This window comes from Homo sapiens, chromosome 15 (genome assembly GCF_000001405.40).
Source record: "Homo sapiens chromosome 15, GRCh38.p14 Primary Assembly".
NCBI lineage: Eukaryota > Metazoa > Chordata > Mammalia > Primates > Hominidae > Homo > Homo sapiens.
In genome coordinates this window covers 25,325,414-25,344,839 of record NC_000015.10, presented here as the reverse complement: position 1 = coordinate 25,344,839, position 19,426 = coordinate 25,325,414, and the positions used below count along the sequence as shown (strand labels likewise).

The following is a 19,426-nucleotide window of genomic DNA, read 5'->3' as shown; positions in this document are numbered from 1 at the left end:
ATGGCTGTTTGGGGAAAAAAAATTTCCATCTGCTTGTCCTACATATATACCTGGCATTCTTTTTTCTCATCATTGGGTGCCATTTGATTACCTTGAAAAACAGTTCTACAGAAAAGGCATGATAAAATAGATTTAAGGTTTTTAGAGTAAGGAGTTAATGTAATAATTTTAATAGTGACAATTTAATTTTGTTTTTTGGTTGGTTTTTGCTGCCTTTTTGAATATTACGAACTAATGAATGTTTTTGTATTTAATACGTTTCACAGTCATTACTCTAAATGATATTCAAATTGCTTAGCTATCGTGTGCTTTTAAAATGACCCTATTAGATTTTGAGATTTCTAACTAATCTCGAACATTCATTCTCAGGCCTGGAATAAGTTATTTTTCCAATAAATTGTTGGAGAATGGCATTTAGAAGTCAGATTTTAGATGCAAAGTATGGCCTTTGCTTTTGAACGTTACTGCTTGTAGGCCTTATCAGAGGACAGAACTAGGAAAATAATCTTCCTAGTGTATCCTGAGAATCATCCCACATTATTGCAGAGGTGTTTTCCATTTTGTTTTGTATGACTGAATACTGCTCCTTTGTGTGGATGCAGCATAGCTTATCAATATTTATGGGCATCGAGGTTATTTTTAACCTTTTGCTGTTAGTACTAATGTCACAGTGAATCCTCTTAATGTTCATGCATTATTCCGTACATATGTAAAGTATCATTAAGATAAATTGTTAGAAGTGGGATTGTTGCATCAAATGGTAGATGCATGTGTAATTTTGCTAGATACTGCCAAATCCTCCTTCACAGAAAAATAACATTTTGCATTCCCACCAGCAGTTTACAACAGTATCTCTTTTCTTAAAACTTTCCAAACAGAATGTGTTGTTAAATGTGGATGTTTACTTATTTGCCAATTGAGAAATGGTATTTTACTATAGTTACAATTTTTGAGCTTACCTCAATTATGAATGATAATGGACATTTTTTCTTGTAGAGCTGTTTATAGTTTTATATAGTCTTTTGCTCATTTTGCTGCTCAGCTGGTCGTTTTCTTCACTTTTAGAAACTTTATATGTTAAGGAGATTAGTCCTTTAACGCTGGTAAATTCGCAAATATTTTTTCCCAGTTTGTCATTTGTCTTTTAACCTTGCTTATAGGATTTTTTTGCCAAATGAAAGGTTTTATGTTTATGTAGTTAGCTATTAATCTTTTTCGTTATTATGCTTTGATATGCATTTCTTTAGTTATGTTTATTTTATTCATTTTCTTTGTTTTTTAATTTTCTAGAGTCTGTCCTCAGTAGAAATTTTAGTCATACTGCTTCTTCTTTGGTCACCTTATAATAAAATTAGCCTTTATTTCCAAAGTTACCTTGCATATTTCTTCAGTATTTTTTAGTATTCTTATTTTTATTTAAGATGTGCTCATTTCTTTCTGAATTTGTATTTCTCATCACTGGTGGTCTGTCTTGTCTGCTGCTGCATTCTCCTTTTGTGTTGGAATGTGGTGTTACTAGTTTCCCATTGTTTATGACTGAATTTTTCTGGTCTACTTTTGTCTACCGGAAAGTTTTGCTTCTCATTCGCCAGACTCTTCCCATAATAACTTTATTTAGACTTCCGAATTCTGTTTTTCTTGTTTATGTTTCTATAACAGATGTTACTTTTTTCTGGACCTGTTATTACTAGACCTCATGGTGGAGCAGGGAGGAATTGTGTGGCTTTAGGGGTCTTGGTTGAAGGGATCCCTCTTCTGTTGCTTTAGTAAGGGCAGAATCACCACTTTCTGATTTTTCAGCTCCATGTAGCTTAATGAAGACTCTTTTTCATTAGCTGCTTCCACCCCTTTACAGCCGCTTAAGGGACACTTCTGCTTTTGAAGGTACCCCCCTTCCTTTCATGCATGGTGCCTTCCTGAGCCTGCCATTGCTGGACCCAAGTACTTTTCTGTAGTCCTTCCTTTAACCACCCTGTTGCCAGTGCTCTAACCTACACTCAGTAGTGCTCTGTTGAGGGGCAGGTGGTGGAGGGGGTGGGGTCTGGCCTTGGGTGATCCCTAATCAGTATGATTCCGCACAAGCCACTCTTCGATGTAGCTCCTGCTGGACCCTGCTCATTTCCCCACTTCTTTGGTATTTGGAGTTTATTGTTCTGTCTCCTAGTTTTACTCTAGACCTAAGTCATAGGTTTTTTTTTTATTTTCCCCTTTTTGATCCGGGTAGATTTTTAGAGATGTGAGTAGGATGTGATCGATACAGCCACCACTTTTATGTGGAAACCTGGAAGCTTCTTCGTGTTTTCTTCAGCTTTCTAAATATATGCATTCTTGTTTAATTCAAAATGTTAATGTAACACACATAACACTTATAGGAATAGAGATGCATTTTGTTCCCTGTTTTCATTGTATAAAATTTTTAAAGGTTTCGTTTAAAAGTCCAAAGAAACAGCTCCGTAATAATATAGCCAGACTGGTCATTGTGACCACTGCTGATCTGCCACTTCCTGCAGGGTCTGTCTCTGTTCTTCGGTGGTGCTCTTTGGTCTACCTCCTTAGGTGTAGCTGGTTCAGTTAAGCTTCAGAGCCCTCCTGCAGTGTGAGGAGGCTTTATTACCACCCACTGCAGGGCAGCTTTTCTGCTATGTTGGAGGGTTCTGTGCTACAGCAGACTTGTTTTCTCTTGTCAGCCTCCCCAAAAGGAGTATCATGAACTGGGGTCCGATTCCTCTCCTCCTTACCTGAGAGATGCTCCTGCAAGTTTCATGTCCAGTTTTCTGTTGTTGTGTGTTTCTTTTTTGTTTTCTCTTGCTGACTGGTGGATTTGTAAAGGGGCAGGGAAGGGAAGTGGCAAGAGATTGGAGAAAGCCAAGAATTCTAATAAAACTTTTAAGTTATTTCAGATAAATGGTGTTGCAGCACCAAAAATGCCAGCATTTTGGTAATAAAAATAGTATGTTGGGATATTAGAATATCAAAAGGTAGAAAATTGTAATTACTGGTTTGGGATGTGTGATGTTCTCTGCTAACATTCTGGAATTTTTTTTTTTTTTTTTTTTGAGATGAAATTTTTTTTTTTTTTTGAGATGGCTCAAAATGTTTCCCAGGCTAGAGTGCAATGGTGTGATCTCAGCTCATTGCAGCCTCCGCCTCCCATGTTCAAGCAATTCTTCTGCCTTGGCCTCCCAAGTAGCTGAGATTACAGGCATCTGCCACCACGCCCGGCTAATTTTTGTATTTTAGTAGAGACAGGGTTTCACCACGTTGGTCAGGCTGATCTTGAACCCCTGACCTCAGGTGATCCACTGGCCTCAGCCTCCCAAAGTGCTGGGATTACAGGCATGAGCCACCACACCTGGCTCTGGAAAGAACTTTCTAAATAACTATTAAAATGCATTTTATATTATATAAGCAACTAAAAATACTTTTAATTTTTTTTTTAATTTTTTAATCTTAACATTATTTAGCTATAGGCCAGGCGCGGTGGCTCATGCCTGCAATCCCAGCACTTTGGGAGGCCAAGGTGGGCGGATCACGAGGTCAGGAGATCGAGACCCATCCTGGCTAACATGGTGAAATCCTGCCTCTACTTAAACGTACAGAAAATTAGCCAGGCGTGGTGGCAGGCACCTATAGTCCCAGCCACTTGGGAGGCTGAGGCAGGACAATGGCGCGAACCCAGGAGGCGGAGCTTGCAATGAGCCGAGATCGCGCCACTGCACTCCAGCCTGAGCGACAGAGCAAGACTCTGTCTCAAAAAAAAAAAAATTTATTTAGCTATGAACTAGTGTATATATGTTTTATAGATGCCTGATTATTCAAATAAACTTCAAGATTGCACTTTATGAGCTTGTATTTCGTTTTTTAGAACTCAAACTAACATAAGTGTCATTAAAACATAGCTTTTATTACATAGATTTTAGGAATGCCACAGGATAAATCATTCTCTTAAAATAACTGCAGGTGGCAGAAATGTCAGAATAATTCTCCTCCTCCATACACAGCACATATTACTTGTTTAAAGTATTCTAGTTCATATAAAAATTGAACTTTTGTATTACTGCTATTAGGTATGTAGTTGTTTGCATTTGGGGCCAGTTGGTTGGGGCAGGGGGTCTTTTTTTCTTTTGTCCTTAATCTGTATCACTTTTTCCTCCCAAAGTTGAGTTAAAGGATGAGTAGACCAGGAGAATAAAGGAGAAAGGATAAATAAAATATATACCCAAAGGCACCTGGAGTTAATTTTTCCAAATATTCATTTCAGTCTTTTTCAATTCATAGGATTTTGTCTTTTGCTCATTACTGACTGCATAATGTGATTATACCATAGTTTAAATAGTCACTTCCTGTTACTACACACTTGGGTTTTCTCAATTTTTTACTATTGTAGTACTAATATTTTACTATATTGTAATCTAATCTAAATTTTTACGTATTCAGAGCTGTTCAGGATAAATTTGCTTGGAAATTTTTAAATCACCAGAAGTGATACTATCCTGATAATTAACTTCCAAGTTGTCTCTTAATATAGTTTTAATGCAAATCATAAGCTTATGTTAGTACCAGTCATAATGAATGCCAAACTGAAACCAGTATTGTATTTTTTCTCATTAGGGAGTTCTGGGAAATCGTTCATTCATTTACAGATGAACAGAAAAGACTCTTCTTGCAGTTTACAACGGGCACAGACAGAGCACCTGTGGGAGGACTAGGAAAATTAAAGATGATTATAGCCAAAAATGGCCCAGACACAGAAAGGTAGGTAATTATTAACTTGTGACTGTATACCTACCGAAAACCTTGCATTCCTCGTCACATACATATGAACTGTCTTTATAGTTTCTGAGCACATTCGTGATTTTATATACAAATCCCCAAATCATATTAGACAATTGAGAAAATACTTTGCTGTCATTGTGTGAGGAAACTTTTAAGAAATTGCCCTAGTTAAAAATTATTATGGGGCTCACATTGGTTTGGAATCAAATTAGTGTGATTCATTTACTTTTTTGATTCCCAGCTTGTTAATTGAAAGCCATATAACATGATCATCTATTTAGAATGGTTACATTGAGGCTCGGAAGATTATCATTTGATTGTGCTAGAATCCTGTTATCAAATCATTTTCTTAGTCATATTGCCAGCAGTGTTTCTAATAAGCATTTAAGAGCACACACTTTGCAGTCTTGTAAAACAGGTTTGAGTATTTTCTCCACCTTAGAGGAAGTTACTTGACTTCTCAGTGACCTAACCTCTAAAGTGCATTTACTGATGTCCTCTCTGTGGTTTTGTTGTGGAAAGATTTAGTTAAATGAACTGTAAGAATTCAGTACCTAAAATGGTATCTGTTATGTAGTAAAAACTCAATGGATACAGTATCTTATCATCGTCACTAGCTTTGAGTAATTTATAGGATAAAGGCAACTTGGTAGTTACACAACAAAAAGTTTATGATTTGCATTAATGTATAGTTTGCATTGCAGACCGTCTCAACTATATACAATCTAAAAATAGGAGCATTTAATTCTAAGTGTATTTCCCATGACTTACAGTTTTCCTGTTTTTTTCCCCTTTTCTCTATTTAGGTTACCTACATCTCATACTTGCTTTAATGTGCTTTTACTTCCGGAATACTCAAGCAAAGAAAAACTTAAAGAGAGATTGTTGAAGGCCATCACGTATGCCAAAGGATTTGGCATGCTGTAAAACAAAACAAAACAAAATAAAACAAAAAAAAGGAAGGAAAAAAAAAGAAAAAATTTAAAAAATTTTAAAAATATAACGAGGGATAAATTTTTGGTGGTGATAGTGTCCCAGTACAAAAAGGCTGTAAGATAGTCAACCACAGTAGTCACCTATGTCTGTGCCTCCCTTCTTTATTGGGGACATGTGGGCTGGAACAGCAGATTTCAGCTACATATATGAACAAATCCTTTATTATTATTATAATTATTTTTTTGCGTGAAAGTGTTACATATTCTTTCACTTGTATGTACAGAGAGGTTTTTCTGAATATTTATTTTAAGGGTTAAATCACTTTTGCTTGTGTTTATTACTGCTTGAGGTTGAGCCTTTTGAGTATTTAAAAAATATATACCAACAGAACTACTCTCCCAAGGAAAATATTGCCACCATTTGTAGACCACGTAACCTTCAAGTATGTGCTACTTTTTTGTCCCTGTATCTAACTCAAATCAGGAACTGTATTTTTTTTAATGATTTGCTTTTGAAACTTGAAGTCTTGAAAACAGTGTGATGCAATTACTGCTGTTCTAGCCCCCAAAGAGTTTTCTGTGCAAAATCTTGAGAATCAATCAATAAAGAAAGATGGAAGGAAGGGAGAAATTGGAATGTTTTAACTGCAGCCCTCAGAACTTTAGTAACAGCACAACAAATTAAAAACAAAAACAACTCATGCCACAGTATGTCGTCTTCATGTGTCTTGCAATGAACTGTTTCAGTAGCCAATCCTCTTTCTTAGTATATGAAAGGACAGGGATTTTTGTTCTTGTTGTTCTCGTTGTTGTTTTAAGTTTACTGGGGAAAGTGCATTTGGCCAAATGAAATGGTAGTCAAGCCTATTGCAACAAAGTTAGGAAGTTTGTTGTTTGTTTATTATAAACAAAAAGCATGTGAAAGTGCACTTAAGATAGAGTTTTTATTAATTACTTACTTATTACCTAGATTTTAAATAGACAATCCAAAGTCTCCCCTTCGTGTTGCCATCATCTTGTTGAATCAGCCATTTTATCGAGGCACGTGATCAGTGTTGCAACATAATGAAAAAGATGGCTACTGTGCCTTGTGTTACTTAATCATACAGTAAGCTGACCTGGAAATGAATGAAACTATTACTCCTAAGAATTACATTGTATAGCCCCACAGATTAAATTTAATTAATTAATTCAAAACATGTTAAACGTTACTTTCATGTACTATGGAAAAGTACAAGTAGGTTTACATTACTGATTTCCAGAAGTAAGTAGTTTCCCCTTTCCTAGTCTTCTGTGTATGTGATGTTGTTAATTTCTTTTATTGCATTATAAAATAAAAGGATTATGTATTTTTAACTAAGGTGAGACATTGATATATCCTTTTGCTACAAGCTATAGCTAATGTGCTGAGCTTGTGCCTTGGTGATTGATTGATTGATTGACTGATTGTTTTAACTGATTACTGTAGATCAACCTGATGATTTGTTTGTTTGAAATTGGCAGGAAAAATGCAGCTTTCAAATCATTGGGGGGAGAAAAAGGATGTCTTTCAGGATTATTTTAATTAATTTTTTTCATAATTGAGACAGAACTGTTTGTTATGTACCATAATGCTAAATAAAACTGTGGCACTTTTCACCATAATTTAATTTAGTGGAAAAAGAAGACAATGCTTTCCATATTGTGATAAGGTAACATGGGGTTTTTCTGGGCCAGCCTTTAGAACACTGTTAGGGTACATACGCTACCTTGATGAAAGGGACCTTCGTGCAACTGTAGTCATCTTAAAGGCTTCTCATCCACTGTGCTTCTTAATGTGTAATTAAAGTGAGGAGAAATTAAATACTCTGAGGGCGTTTTATATAATAAATTCGTGAAGAAATGTGTGCTCTTCAGTTCTCAAGTTTTATTATTATGGTATTTATTAAAGTTCTACAATTGTAATAACGTATCCATATGACAAGTTTTAAAGTGGTAATTGAAATAGGTTATCAGATATAGAGTTGTTCACATCAAGTAGACTTTTAACAGAGTCAGAATGAACCTACCCTTAAAATTTTAGAGAAAAAAAATCGTCGGTTGCACAGAATAGCTGCTCTAGCTTGCTTAATTATGCCGGGCATGTTGTCACTCCTCTTACTTTTGCTGCCTTTTCATTACTATTTAATGGAATGTCCCTGAACAATAAGGAAGAGCAAAACATAGACATTTTGACTACAGTGGATACTTCCTCTACCCCAAATGTTATGTTATAAAAGTACTTTTTTTGCCCAGGTACTCTATTATATATTTTGGTTTTCTTTGAATTAGACCTCAATCTCCAGGAAGCTCTGGAGGGAAAAAAAGGAACCATAAACTAAAGTAACTGGTTTTCCAAATAAATGTAAACTTTTTTAACCTTTTATTATTATAGAACATTTCAAACATACATAAAACATGAAAACAGCCTGCAGCCAAACTTTTCTGGACCTTGGCAGCTCCAGCAAATGAGCTGGTCATCCTAACCCTGGTTTCCTGAGACAACTACTTTTGGGGATGCTTGCTTGTATAGGGAGATGATAGATAGATAGATACATATCAAAAAGAAACTTGAAAAAGGCTTCGAACAGAACTTGCCGATGTTACTCATCCCTCCTCGGTACAGACATTCTGTTAGAACAGATGGTTGTAATGGGGCAGCATCACTCCCTATTCCCATTAAAAACATGACCATTCTGAGATTTCAGGCCCCTTCGAGGAATTTTTCTCAAGAATTCCATACAAACTGTCAGAGGAAGAAATGTCGTCCCAAGACTAGTCCCTGTGTAGTCTTGATCCCTTTACCTGCTTACTGTAATTTTTTTTCTCTGACTTTCCGCCAGTGTCTAAGGGCCATCTGTACCCCTCCCACCCTTCCATGAGCCACTGTATAATCCAAAAACACACCTTCCATTTGCTCCCTCACTTGTCTCCTTTTACCTCAACAGTGTTAGTGTGTAAAGAATTGCCTGGGGAGGGTAGAGGGTTTTACAAGTACAGAGTCCCAAGTCTTTTCTCCCCTCCCCGTTAGTGGGTTGGCATTTATTAATAGGCACTGCAAGATTTTGATGCAGGTGTGGGGTAGATATCACTGTGAAAGGCTACTAATGCATGGTAGTTTCACCGAAAGTACAGTCTTCAAGGATCCTTATAATCTCCTCATTGCCAAAATCAGTAACATCTATAACCTTGACAACACCCTAGCTTGGGCTGTTGCTTCTCTGGCTACTTGTTTTTCCATCCCAGTTTACCCAGATTTTAGATGGATACTCCTCCAATTCTGCTTAAAGTCCTTACCTGTTCTTGCCCAGTTCCCTCTAGTCAACCTCAGTCACTCCCAAAGATTCTTCCCCAATCCCATATCTTTTGCTCAGACCTCTGTCTCTGGGATTTCTTTGTTACCTCATAGTCAGTAGTCCTAAAAACAAAATTCTTCATCTTGCATCTCTATCGACCGACCATTCTTTGTTTCTTTTTAAGAAATGTAACCTTCACCCCAATCATCAAAATCTCTCATTCCTCAATTGTCACAGGTTGTCACTTCTTTCCCCCTAAACCTCTCCCATCATTCCTTCCTTCTTTATACTGCCCTTACAGGTCCTGATCCTCTGACTCACCCGGACATTCTTAGCAGCTGCCTAATTTCACTCCCTGACTCTCATCTCCCTCTTCCAATCCTTTTCATTGTGCTAGAACACTATCTTGCTAATTTTAATATCCTCTGCATTCAGTGCCTCCACAGATTGCCCCCTCACTGACCTTTCCAATTTGGCCTTGTGTTACACACTTTCCTCGCTGCATTCCTACCCAGCATCTTCACTTGTCATATTTCTCAAATACTCTTCATGACCAGATATTTAAAGTACCTCATCCATGAAGACTTCATCAACCCCCAAAGTGCCTCCAATGCTTCCGTGGTAGCACAGCATAATGGGGTACATTTCTTAGTTGAACAGTGAGGAGTCACTGGGATTCTTACAGAGTGTCTTAGGGTCTCCTCTTGATACTCTTTCCACATTTCAGTTAAGGAATTTTCTTACATCTTTTTTTCTTCTAATAACCTTTGCCTGGAGTGTAAGTAAATTCATGATAGAGACTGTCATTTTTAAAAAAAAAAACAAACCATTTTGCCTTTCACATGTTATTACCTCCATCTTTCTGTTATCTTGTCAGTGTTGCCACCTAAATGATTGAAAATGACCGAGCATGCAGTAGAATGTAGTGAAGTTTCCTATTTCATCCATTTTTTGCATAAGTGCATTGGTATCTGTATATCCATCTGCCCAAGCACCAGTTGTTGAAAAGACTATTATTTCCCCATGAATGGTCCTGGTACCCTTGTCAAAGAACAGTTGACCATAAATATAAGACTTTCTGGATTCTCAGTCTTACTCCATTGCCCTATATGTCTGTCGTTATACCAGCACCGCACTGTCTTGATGGCTGTAGCTTGGTAGTAAGTTTAGATTTGGGATGTGCAAGTCCTCCATTTTTTTTTTTTTTTTCCCCAAAATCATTTTGTCTGTTTTGGGTCCCTTGCATTGCATATGAATTTTTATATGATCATTGTGTCAATTCCTGCAAAACAGCTGGGATCTTGATAGGGATTTAGTTGAATTGGTAGATAAATTTGAGAAATAACTGCTATTTTAATGGTGTTAGGTTTTCTGTTCCATGACTGTGGGATGTCTTTGCATTTGCTTAGGTCTTTATTTCAGTGATGTTTTAGAGATTTCAGTGTGCAAGTCTTGACGTCTTTAATTTTTTTCTAAGTATTTTACTGATGCCACTTTAATTATATGATTATTTTCTAATTTTTATTTTTGTATTCATCACTGGTGTTAGAAATAAAATTAATTTTTGTATATTGATTTTGTATATTGTAGCTTTTCTAAAATTCTTTTTTTGTCACTTAGTATTTTTTGCATATGAGATCATGCATCTGTGAACAGAAATACTTTTACTTCTTCCTTTCCAGTCTAGATTCCTATTATTTCATTTTCTTGCCTTAGTGTGCTGGCTAGCACCTCCAGTACAATATTGGATAGAAGTGACAAGAGCAGACATCTTTTTCTTGTTCCTGATTTTAAGGGGAAAGCATTCAGTCTTTCACCATTGAGTATGATGTTAGCTAGCTGTGGGTTTGCTTCAAGTTGAGGAAATTCTTTTATTAAACCTAGTTTACTGAGTGTTTTTTAATCAAAAAAAAAAAAAGGAGGGGCTGTGGGTTTTGTTAAATGCTTCTTCTGTATCAAGATTTTCATGTTGTTTTGTCCTTTATTAATATGTTGTATTAATGGACTTTTGTATATTGAATTAACTTTGCATTCCTGGGATAATCTCAGTTGTCCATGCTACATAAACCTTGTTCTATGCTGCTGGATTTGGTTTGCTAGTATTTTGTTTAGAATGTTTGCATCTATATTCATAAGGAATATTGGTCTGTAGTTTTCATATTATATATCTGTCCAGTTTGGGGATGAGAGTCATACTCCTGACAGAATGAATTGGGAGCTTTCCCTGTTCTTAAACCTACTGAGGTATTTTTTAAGTGAACTACTTGGAGACCTTCACCTGTGATCTTCAGATGCTGGGGGACACAGGGATGGTACCTGACTCTGAAAAGGCTCTCAGGGTAAGACGTGTCTGAACTGGCCTGTGGCAGTTAACTAAAGAGTACTCCTACCAATAATGGAGTCAAGATGTATGTTTCCCATAGGCCACGCTGGTCACTGAAAGAGATGGGCTATGAGCCATCTTGAAAACTACCCTGCACAAATGGACTGCCGGCCTGGAGCCAGGCACCCTGCAGCTGAGTGCCATATAATGTTGAAGCTGTTGAGGGAGGAGAGGTTGGAAGCTGCCAGCTTAGAGAATCTCAGCTGTGGTTTCCAGCAGGGTGTATTCCAGGAAAGAAAGTCATTCCCCACCCTGGCTCAAAGTAATAATTAACAGTGACTGGGTAAGGCAGGATCTTTTTTTCTAATTCCCTCCCCTCCAGAAAGGGCAGCAACAGCTCTTGAATGGGAAAGAAGGTGGAGGGAGGAAAAGAAAAACCAATTGCCCCAACACTGCTGTCTTTAAGCTTCCCACCCAAAGACCTCAGTAAGAGGCAGAATTATGTTTTCAATTAAGAGAGAGTTTGGCCTCTTGGTGTTTCAAAAGTGTAGGCTTTTTAATACCTAGAGAAACTGATGATTTGTTGATTACCAAAAAGGGACCAGAAAAGCTACATAGCCTGAGATTTCATCCCCAGAAAAACGAATCCAGAGAGCAGACTTGCAAAAAAAAAAAAAAACCGTTCTGTCTCTGCCTCTCCCACTACACATACACAGTGAGAAAGAGAGTCTTCATGATTTGGTAAATTAGACCCATGGAAAGACTCGGGACATTTAGGATGATGATATTTACGATGAGGAAGATTTCTATGGGAAACTTTTTTTTAACTTGTCTCTAATCCTATTCCAACTGAAGTTTGAATTTTTTTCCTTTCATTAACATTTACTGGGCAAATACCTATTGAATGTTTGCCATTTTGCAGTGTGCCATAGGTTTCAGGCTGATTCAGAGCTGCTTTGTTGAATCAAGAAGTCTGTTACAGGGAGACAATCTAGTTAGACCAGGCATAAGTACAAACCACTAAGGGTAAAAGAAGTATGTGAAAGTACAATGTGGGCAGAGAATTCAGATCCAAAAATACTGCAGATAGGTAGGTGATGAAGGTCAAGCCGAATCTTGACATACAGGATAGGTGTATGTGAGTGAGTTAGGTGGAAAGTCTAGTATGTCTGAGTGTCAGGCTGTAAGGGATTAAGATGAGATTGGGAAGGCAGGCAGGTCAGATAATGAGGGCCTTATAGACCATACCAAGGACTTTGGACTTTTATTTTGCAGACGTTAAGCAAAGACATAATCACTTTTCATTTTATATTTATTACAAACTGAAAGAGCACAAGTGCACATGTGGTCTTTGCAGTTAAGTTATTGCCATAATTCTAAAAAGGCAGATAATCTGAAGATAGAAGGGAGGCCACAGTCCAAGACATGCTAGGGACTCTGATTGATTCAGTGCTCATGCATGGGAAAGATAAGAGTCAAAGACAACTCCCACATTTCAGGTTTTGAGAGCTGGACGGACAGTGTTGCTGTTAGGTCTATAGAGAAGAGGAGTGGATTTTGAAGGGAAAATTATTAATAGTACAATTGAATGATGTTTTAGTTGTGTCTGAGGGATATCCAGGGAGAGCTGTCCTAAGGCAATTAAAAATATGGGTCTAGAGAAAAACGTACACAGAAGATAAAAATGTATGACTCCAGCACATAGACCATAGCTGAACCTGTGGCTAGGAAAATTCTCCTGGAAAAGGCAGAGAGGAGAGAAGGACAAGGATGGAATGCATGGAAATGCTAGCATTTGAGAGTTATACACGGAACCCACAGTAGAGGCAAATGAGAAAAAGCAGGTTTGTTTTTGTCTGCTCCAGTAGACAGACACCAAGCTCCATGAGGGCAGAGACTTTGTCTTATTCGTGGCTGTACCTGCAGTGCATAGAGCAGACTGTACATGTGCTTTGTGGACCCATGCAGTTACTGGGGTGTCTCAGAAACTTCCCATCCTCCTCCCTACTGTGTCTTTGCATAACCCTGGCTGGGCCTCCCTTTTCTCAATGTCAACTCTCACTGTAACTTTTTTTTTTTTTTTTTTTTTTTTTTTGAGACGGAGTCTCGCTCATTGCCCTGGCTGGAGTGCAGTGGCGGAATCTCAGCTCACTGCAAGCTCCGCCTCCCGGGTTCACGCCATTCTCCTGCCTCAGCTTCCTGAGTAGCTGGGACTACAGGCGCCCGCCACCACGCCCGGCTAATTTTTTTGTATTTTTAGTAGAGACGGAGTTTCACCGTGTTAGCCAGAATGGTCTCAATCTCCTGACCTCATGATCTGCCCACCTCGGCCTTCCAAAGTGCTGGGATTATAGGCGTGAGCCACCGCTCCCAGCCTCTTACTGTAACTTTTAAGAAGGGCATATATCTACGTAGTGTCATCACCATAAAGATAAATCAACCAAGTGAAAATATTTTGAAACTTTGGAAATGTATAAACTCCAAAATCATCATCAGTTACATCATCAATTATGTCCCTAAAGATCCCATCACTCTGCCTCACACTGGGGTCTTGCCTACTTCTCTGTTCCAAAAGGGCACAGTAGTGGTATCAAATCTGTTTCTTGAGGCAAATGAAGTACCTTGCTCCAAAATAATCACCCACAGCAGGCAGATAACCTCCAAGTGCTTCAAGCTGAGATTGAGCAGGAGGATCCCAGCTCATCACAACTGGGTGGTAAATATACACTTGGGCCCAAATGGAAGGAAATGCATTACCCTACAATGCATACCCAACATGCTTGCATCCAGGCCCCAAATCCAGCAAAACAATGCTATTCCCCTTCAACATGTGTTAACGGAACTGAGATATTTTTCCAATTTAAATTGTGTTCCCCAAAGTCTTCATTATTCTCTAGTGCCTATTACAATCTGTGTTTTTATGTTTACTTCATGACTGCCTAGTTCCCTCCTGAAATTTTAAGCCTCGTGAGAGTAAGAACTATCTGTTTTCTTTACTCCACTGTCCTGTACATACATACTTGTTGAATGAATGTATGAATGCCACCGTGATTGCAAAGTCCAAGGGAAATGATGTTGATTCACTGCACACTGTACAGGAGGGTGTCAACCAGACTTCCAGATTTCTACAGAAATTACCAGTAAAGGGTAGTATAAGAATGGTTCCTGCATGTGAAAAATGATCTTGGATGGAGCTGTTGTGGCATTCACCTGCTCCTCATACTCTCCTGCCACTGTGCAGGGACAGCACAACCCCCGTGCTGCTTTCTTGAGTGTAGCTCATTTCAGAAAAGCAGTAAAAGGAAAACCCACTTGTTTGCTTTATGTTCCTAAGAAGGTGGTGAGTAAATCAATCACGTTATCCTAAGAAGTGACTTGAATTTTATGAAGGCTCCTTTGTTTCCATTGCACTCCTTTCTACCCATCTCTACTCCCACCTCCACCCCCACCCTCAAATCATGCTTATAATTTCCATTATTCAATTAAGGGTGGCTTTTTTCTCATCACAAACATCTGTGTGCTTTAAATAGCTTCTACATAACCGAAGTGGAAGTAGTCATGTAGAACAGCACATGGCCACTCCAGGGGACATGAGAAGCCTCTGCCTAAAGGTAGTTCTCCCTTCTGTCATCTGATCTCACACATGGCACTGCAAACCTGCAGTTATTTAGCCATGTGCTTTGTGACATTGATTTCACTTCCTTGGGTTATTCTTACCGTCTTTAGGAACTTAAATATTTAAGAAATAAACAAATACTATTCAAAGAGAGCTGTACCATTATTATATGCATTTAAGTGAAAAACTACCACTTCCCATATATATTTATCTCATGACCACCTAATTGATAAAAACATGTTAACTGTTATCTTATATTGCCTCAGGGAAAAAGTCTGAATGTTGATTGGAGGCACTGCAGGATAGCCATTCGATACCTGCTTTTGTGACAATAAACTAAAGCATTGGATTTTGGTGGATTAGGGATAAAAATGGCTTGACAGATCATCTTGTCCAGCCCTCAGTATATAGATGAGAAGACTTAGGTCTCAAGCTCTGAAGCGCTTTGCTCAGGATCGCTGGCCATTTCATATATGTAACAAGCTCCCACTTCATGCTCATTTCACAGTAGCGTGTCACTTTCAGGTCAGCTTCCTTCAGTGGGCGTTGTCTTTGCTTAATTAAATGTCAGGAGGTCCCCCCAGAAGGCTTGACTCAGGGAAGGAGGGCAGACCCTCCCAGTTCTCTCACTGACTAGCTTTCGTTTGTTGGATTGTTTTTACTGATAAAAAAGTTCAGAAATTAGAGCCAGGTTCCTGTTCACGTTCCCTACCCAAGCCCCTGAAGAAGCAAATTGGTGAATGTTCCCCAAATTCTTTTACTCTCTAGTATACAGTAAGCAGTACTGCCAAAAAGTTTCCCAAAGTCATGTTCCTCTTAGATATTTTTCCTTGAAAACTGTTGTCTGGCATGGAGATCCAACCTGTGTGGAAAGTTCCAGATGCCCTGGTCCTAGCTTCACCTGCCCTGCTTTTGCTTCCTGTTCTCACTGCTTGTCTCCAGGTTTCCATTTGAAGGCTTGCAGTGCTACTGTGCCCTTACTGTTAAATCCTGCCTTGCTTGCCATGTTTTATAGACAAGGAAAGCATTTTCTACCAGAGCTCAGGAGCAGCCTTGAGGTCAGGGGTAACGTTTTTCATTGGTAAGTATTCAGTAGTTGCTGAATGACAATTGGGTGGAAAGGGGAGGGGTGCCTTAGAAAAAATGTCTGTTCTTTGTGGTAATGAAATTGCTTCCAATTTATTTTCTGATCTCTTTGAGAACTATTTCCTGTCGTCTTCCCGCACCATGCATTCTGATTTCTGGGGCATTCAGTGCTCCCTCCCTTCCTTTATTCAAGGGGCTCTTGGAAAAGAAATCTCTGAAGAAAAAATGTGTGGGCAGTGGGAGACTTCTCATTCTCTCCACCAAATACTTAGCCCTTTCATTCATGAGAAACCCCTGCTTTAGGATGGTGTGGATCTGAGTCAGCAGGGCTGGGTTCATTTGTATATACTCCAGGTTGTGGAGGTTGTTCCTGGGTCTTGGCCTTTCATTTTGGGAGTGCTCCACACTTCTGTCTCCATATACTATGTATTTAAGAAGCTTGCCTTTCGATTTCCTGCCAGTGGCTGGATCTTGGGGATCACTGCACAATGCTTGTATGCCCCACTGGAGAAGTCTCTCATGGCACCTTTCCCCTCCCATGGTGGTGGAATGCTGTCCACAGAAAGCTTCTCTTCACTGTTCAGAGACTCTAAAAATAAGACCTGAACTGACTTGCTCTGCCTACTGAAAGGGGACCTCCTTATATTCACCATTGCCCTCACACCCTTTTCCTTGGAGTCTGTCTTTAGGGTCACCCTGGGAGCTGCCTGGGCCTCCACCTTCTTAAGGAGGCAACTCCTGAGAGCTGGGTAGGGACTGTCTTTGTCCAGACTGTCTGAAGAGCATCTTGTTCTTTACCTCCCTCTCCTGTTCTTGACTATTGCCTTCACTGCTGCCTCGCTCTCGTCTACCAGGGTGGTATTATAAAGTATGTCCTTGGAGGTGAGCTGTTTGACCAGCTCCTTGTTGCCTAGAAACCTAAGAAATTGTCAGAACAATCCGGCATGCATCAGCTCTGACCTTTGGAGCTTTGACTGGCATTATTTATAAAAGGCTTTCTGCTCTGTTAGCCGAGCATTGGCTTCATATTTCTCCATGGACTCCAGAAAACTGGGTTTCTTTTTTGCAAGTTCTCTTGTTTTCAGTTGAGAACGGTATTGAGTAGGACTTCTCTGTTTCCTTGAGTTTTATGTTCTCTCCAAATATGGAATAGCACTTGCTTCCCTGGGTGCCAACGCTGGCCGACCAGCTCTGAAAGTTGCTCTGCTTGTGGTTCTTCCCTGAGATGCTAGTTGGGCCTGGGAATCTTCCATTTCTCTGCCCACCAGGTGACCTGGCAGTCAGTGTTCTGTCAAAGACCTGTGAGGGTGCTTAGTGAACTGTGGGCACTATGACCACAGGGTACTATTCTGGGTCCCAGTGTTTGTTTTTAAGAACTCTGTAGGTTGACAGGACATGCTGTCTGGTGGCCAAGTGCTTCTGCCAAGAGTATGGGGCCTGGGAGACATGTTTCCTGGCCTGCTTATTGCAGGCCTAGCTTCCACCTAAGAGCTATCCGCTTCCCAAGGGGACATCCACCATGTCTCTGTGATAGGAGCTGAATAGTAGGGGCAGGACTGAAAGGTCTGTATGTTTGCTTTTCAGTCAGGTACAGGTGTTGGAGGTTTCTTAAATTTGGTTTCTTTTGATCTCCCTGGCAGGCAGTGATGGGGAAGTTTTTAGTAAGGTTATTAACAGAGATAGAGGATTTAGAGTTAAAATTTAATAGGGAAATTTTTCTATAGGATGGTTGAAAATGATGCTTTGTATAGTTTTATTGTATGAACTTTTCAGGGATAGAATTAGTCAATTTGTAGAAATTGGGCCGCCTCTGTTATTGTGATATATTAGAACTGTATTGAATGATGAGACTTCCCAAAAGTTTAAAACAAAAAAAGGAGGCAGAAGAGAACGAGGATATAAATGAGGACACTCTCGCTGAGGACACATCAGCTGTTAGCAGTCTGTCTCTGTGTACCGAGCTCAAGAACTGTGACTTTGGTTGGAAGTTAGACCTTTTCTATCCAGCTTCAGACATGGTAACCTTCACATAAGCTGCTGGATTTGTTCTACCAGAAATTTAGTCTGTTGTGTGACTCCAGCCACTTTGCAACTCAAGATTATTACTTGTTCAGGTTTCTTTCATTAAATAGCTAACCATTTAACAACTATTATCTTCTTAGGGTCGACTGATGGTTACCCATACAGTATATACATCATCCATATCCTTTCCTCTCCTACTATATCTCACTCCTATTTTCCAGTCCATCCTCATCTCTCCTCAAGATCAACAGACCCCAACCTCTTTTACTTAAACGTTGTATTCCTGAAGTAGTCCTGCCCTTTCCTTCAGCCTGCGAAGCCTTCTCAAAGACTTCTTTTCCATGCATCTAGACTCTGCCTGGTTATTCTCCTTCCTTCAGAGTTATTTCTTTGTCAAATGCTGCTAATGTATAAAAACACAAAGCTTTGATAGTTCCTTCTGTCCCAACGGAGCCTTACGCTTGGCTGACATTTAGGGTAAAGGTGGTATTTTTATTAGTAAAATTAAATGATACAGAAGTGAATTCTAAAAATAGTTACATAAATCTAAGAGAGTTTTCATGAATTCAGGTTGCCCCAAAGATTTAGGCCATACCTCTTCCATGGAATGGCTGTCATGCAGTTTGGATGGTTGACCTCAAAATTATTCCCAGCCCCAGAAGTGGAGTAGGTATATTAGTCTAAGGCAGTCAGGGTAATGCTATCTTCCATGCCACAGATTGGCTTGGAATGGGGATAACCAAAAGCACTTTGGGCCTGTGAGATTTGACAGAGTGTTTACTGTGAGCCTAGGGAAAGAACATGCCTGCTCTCATGTGAGAGTATGAAGAAACACTGCCTAAGCAAGGAATCATGTGGCTCCAGTTTTTACTGTCAGCCTTTCTACCACCAGGGAGACCAGCCTTGAGATGATGCAGGTGCATGGACAGCTGTGTGGAGGGATAGAAGAATCCAGTTTTTAAACCAGATGGCTGAGCTATTTCATTAAGTCACCCCAGAAGTCTTCAACTAACAGTATCTTAACTGGTGAACTCCTGTGACTGATACAGGAAAATTTTACTTCGTAACAAAGTATGATAATTCCTTTGTGCAGGAAGGAGGTTTTGTGGAAATGATGTTGATTCACTGCACACTGTACAGGAGGGTGTCTCTTTGACACCACCAACCTTAAATAGTAGGAAAGCCATCACAGTGGGTTGGGTGGTTGGATTGCTTTATTGCAACTAATAAAGGGTCAGTTGTGCAGTTGTTAACTATCTTTCACTTCCCTCAGAACTGTATCTCCTAGCCCAGTGCCCTATAGGTCAAAAATGCCAGTTTGTTGTACAGTCAGCAGAGCCCAGTACTATGCTTT

At 39.3% G+C, this 19,426-nt stretch overlaps 1 protein-coding gene and 1 long non-coding RNA gene across 50 annotated transcripts in view, besides 1 other annotated feature; one reads left to right on the top strand and one right to left on the bottom strand.

The window, feature by feature from the left end:
• The window catches only part of UBE3A (ubiquitin protein ligase E3A), a 105,329-nt gene extending 94,217 nt beyond the window's left edge, over positions 1 to 11,112 (top strand). For 45 of the 49 annotated variants that reach the window (NR_148916.2, XM_017022548.3, XM_017022547.3 and 42 more), the window contains 2 exons: positions 4,612 to 4,755; positions 5,583 to 11,112. Coding sequence is in view for 48 of the 49 variants with exons in the window: in XM_017022548.3 (XP_016878037.1) it covers positions 4,612 to 4,755; positions 5,583 to 5,703 (265 nt within the window). In the remaining variant the exon portion in view is untranslated. The remainder of the gene's footprint in view (positions 1 to 4,611; positions 4,756 to 5,582) is intronic. The other 4 variants (NM_000462.5, NM_001354505.1, NM_001354526.1 and 1 more) reach the window with 2 other exon arrangements.
• SNHG14 (small nucleolar RNA host gene 14) overlaps positions 1 to 19,426 on the bottom strand; it is a 595,855-nt gene that overhangs the window by 74,623 nt on the left and 501,806 nt on the right. The gene's annotated exons all lie outside the window — the stretch shown is intronic.
• Positions 12,664 to 12,958: a silencer, noted in NCBI's record as "tiled region #5757; HepG2 Repressive non-DNase unmatched - State 16:ElonW". NCBI's record gives its function as "represses a minimal TATA promoter and a strong SV40 promoter by Sharpr-MPRA in HepG2 cells {active_cell/tissue: HepG2}" and the evidence as "EXISTENCE:reporter gene assay evidence [ECO:0000049][PMID:27701403]".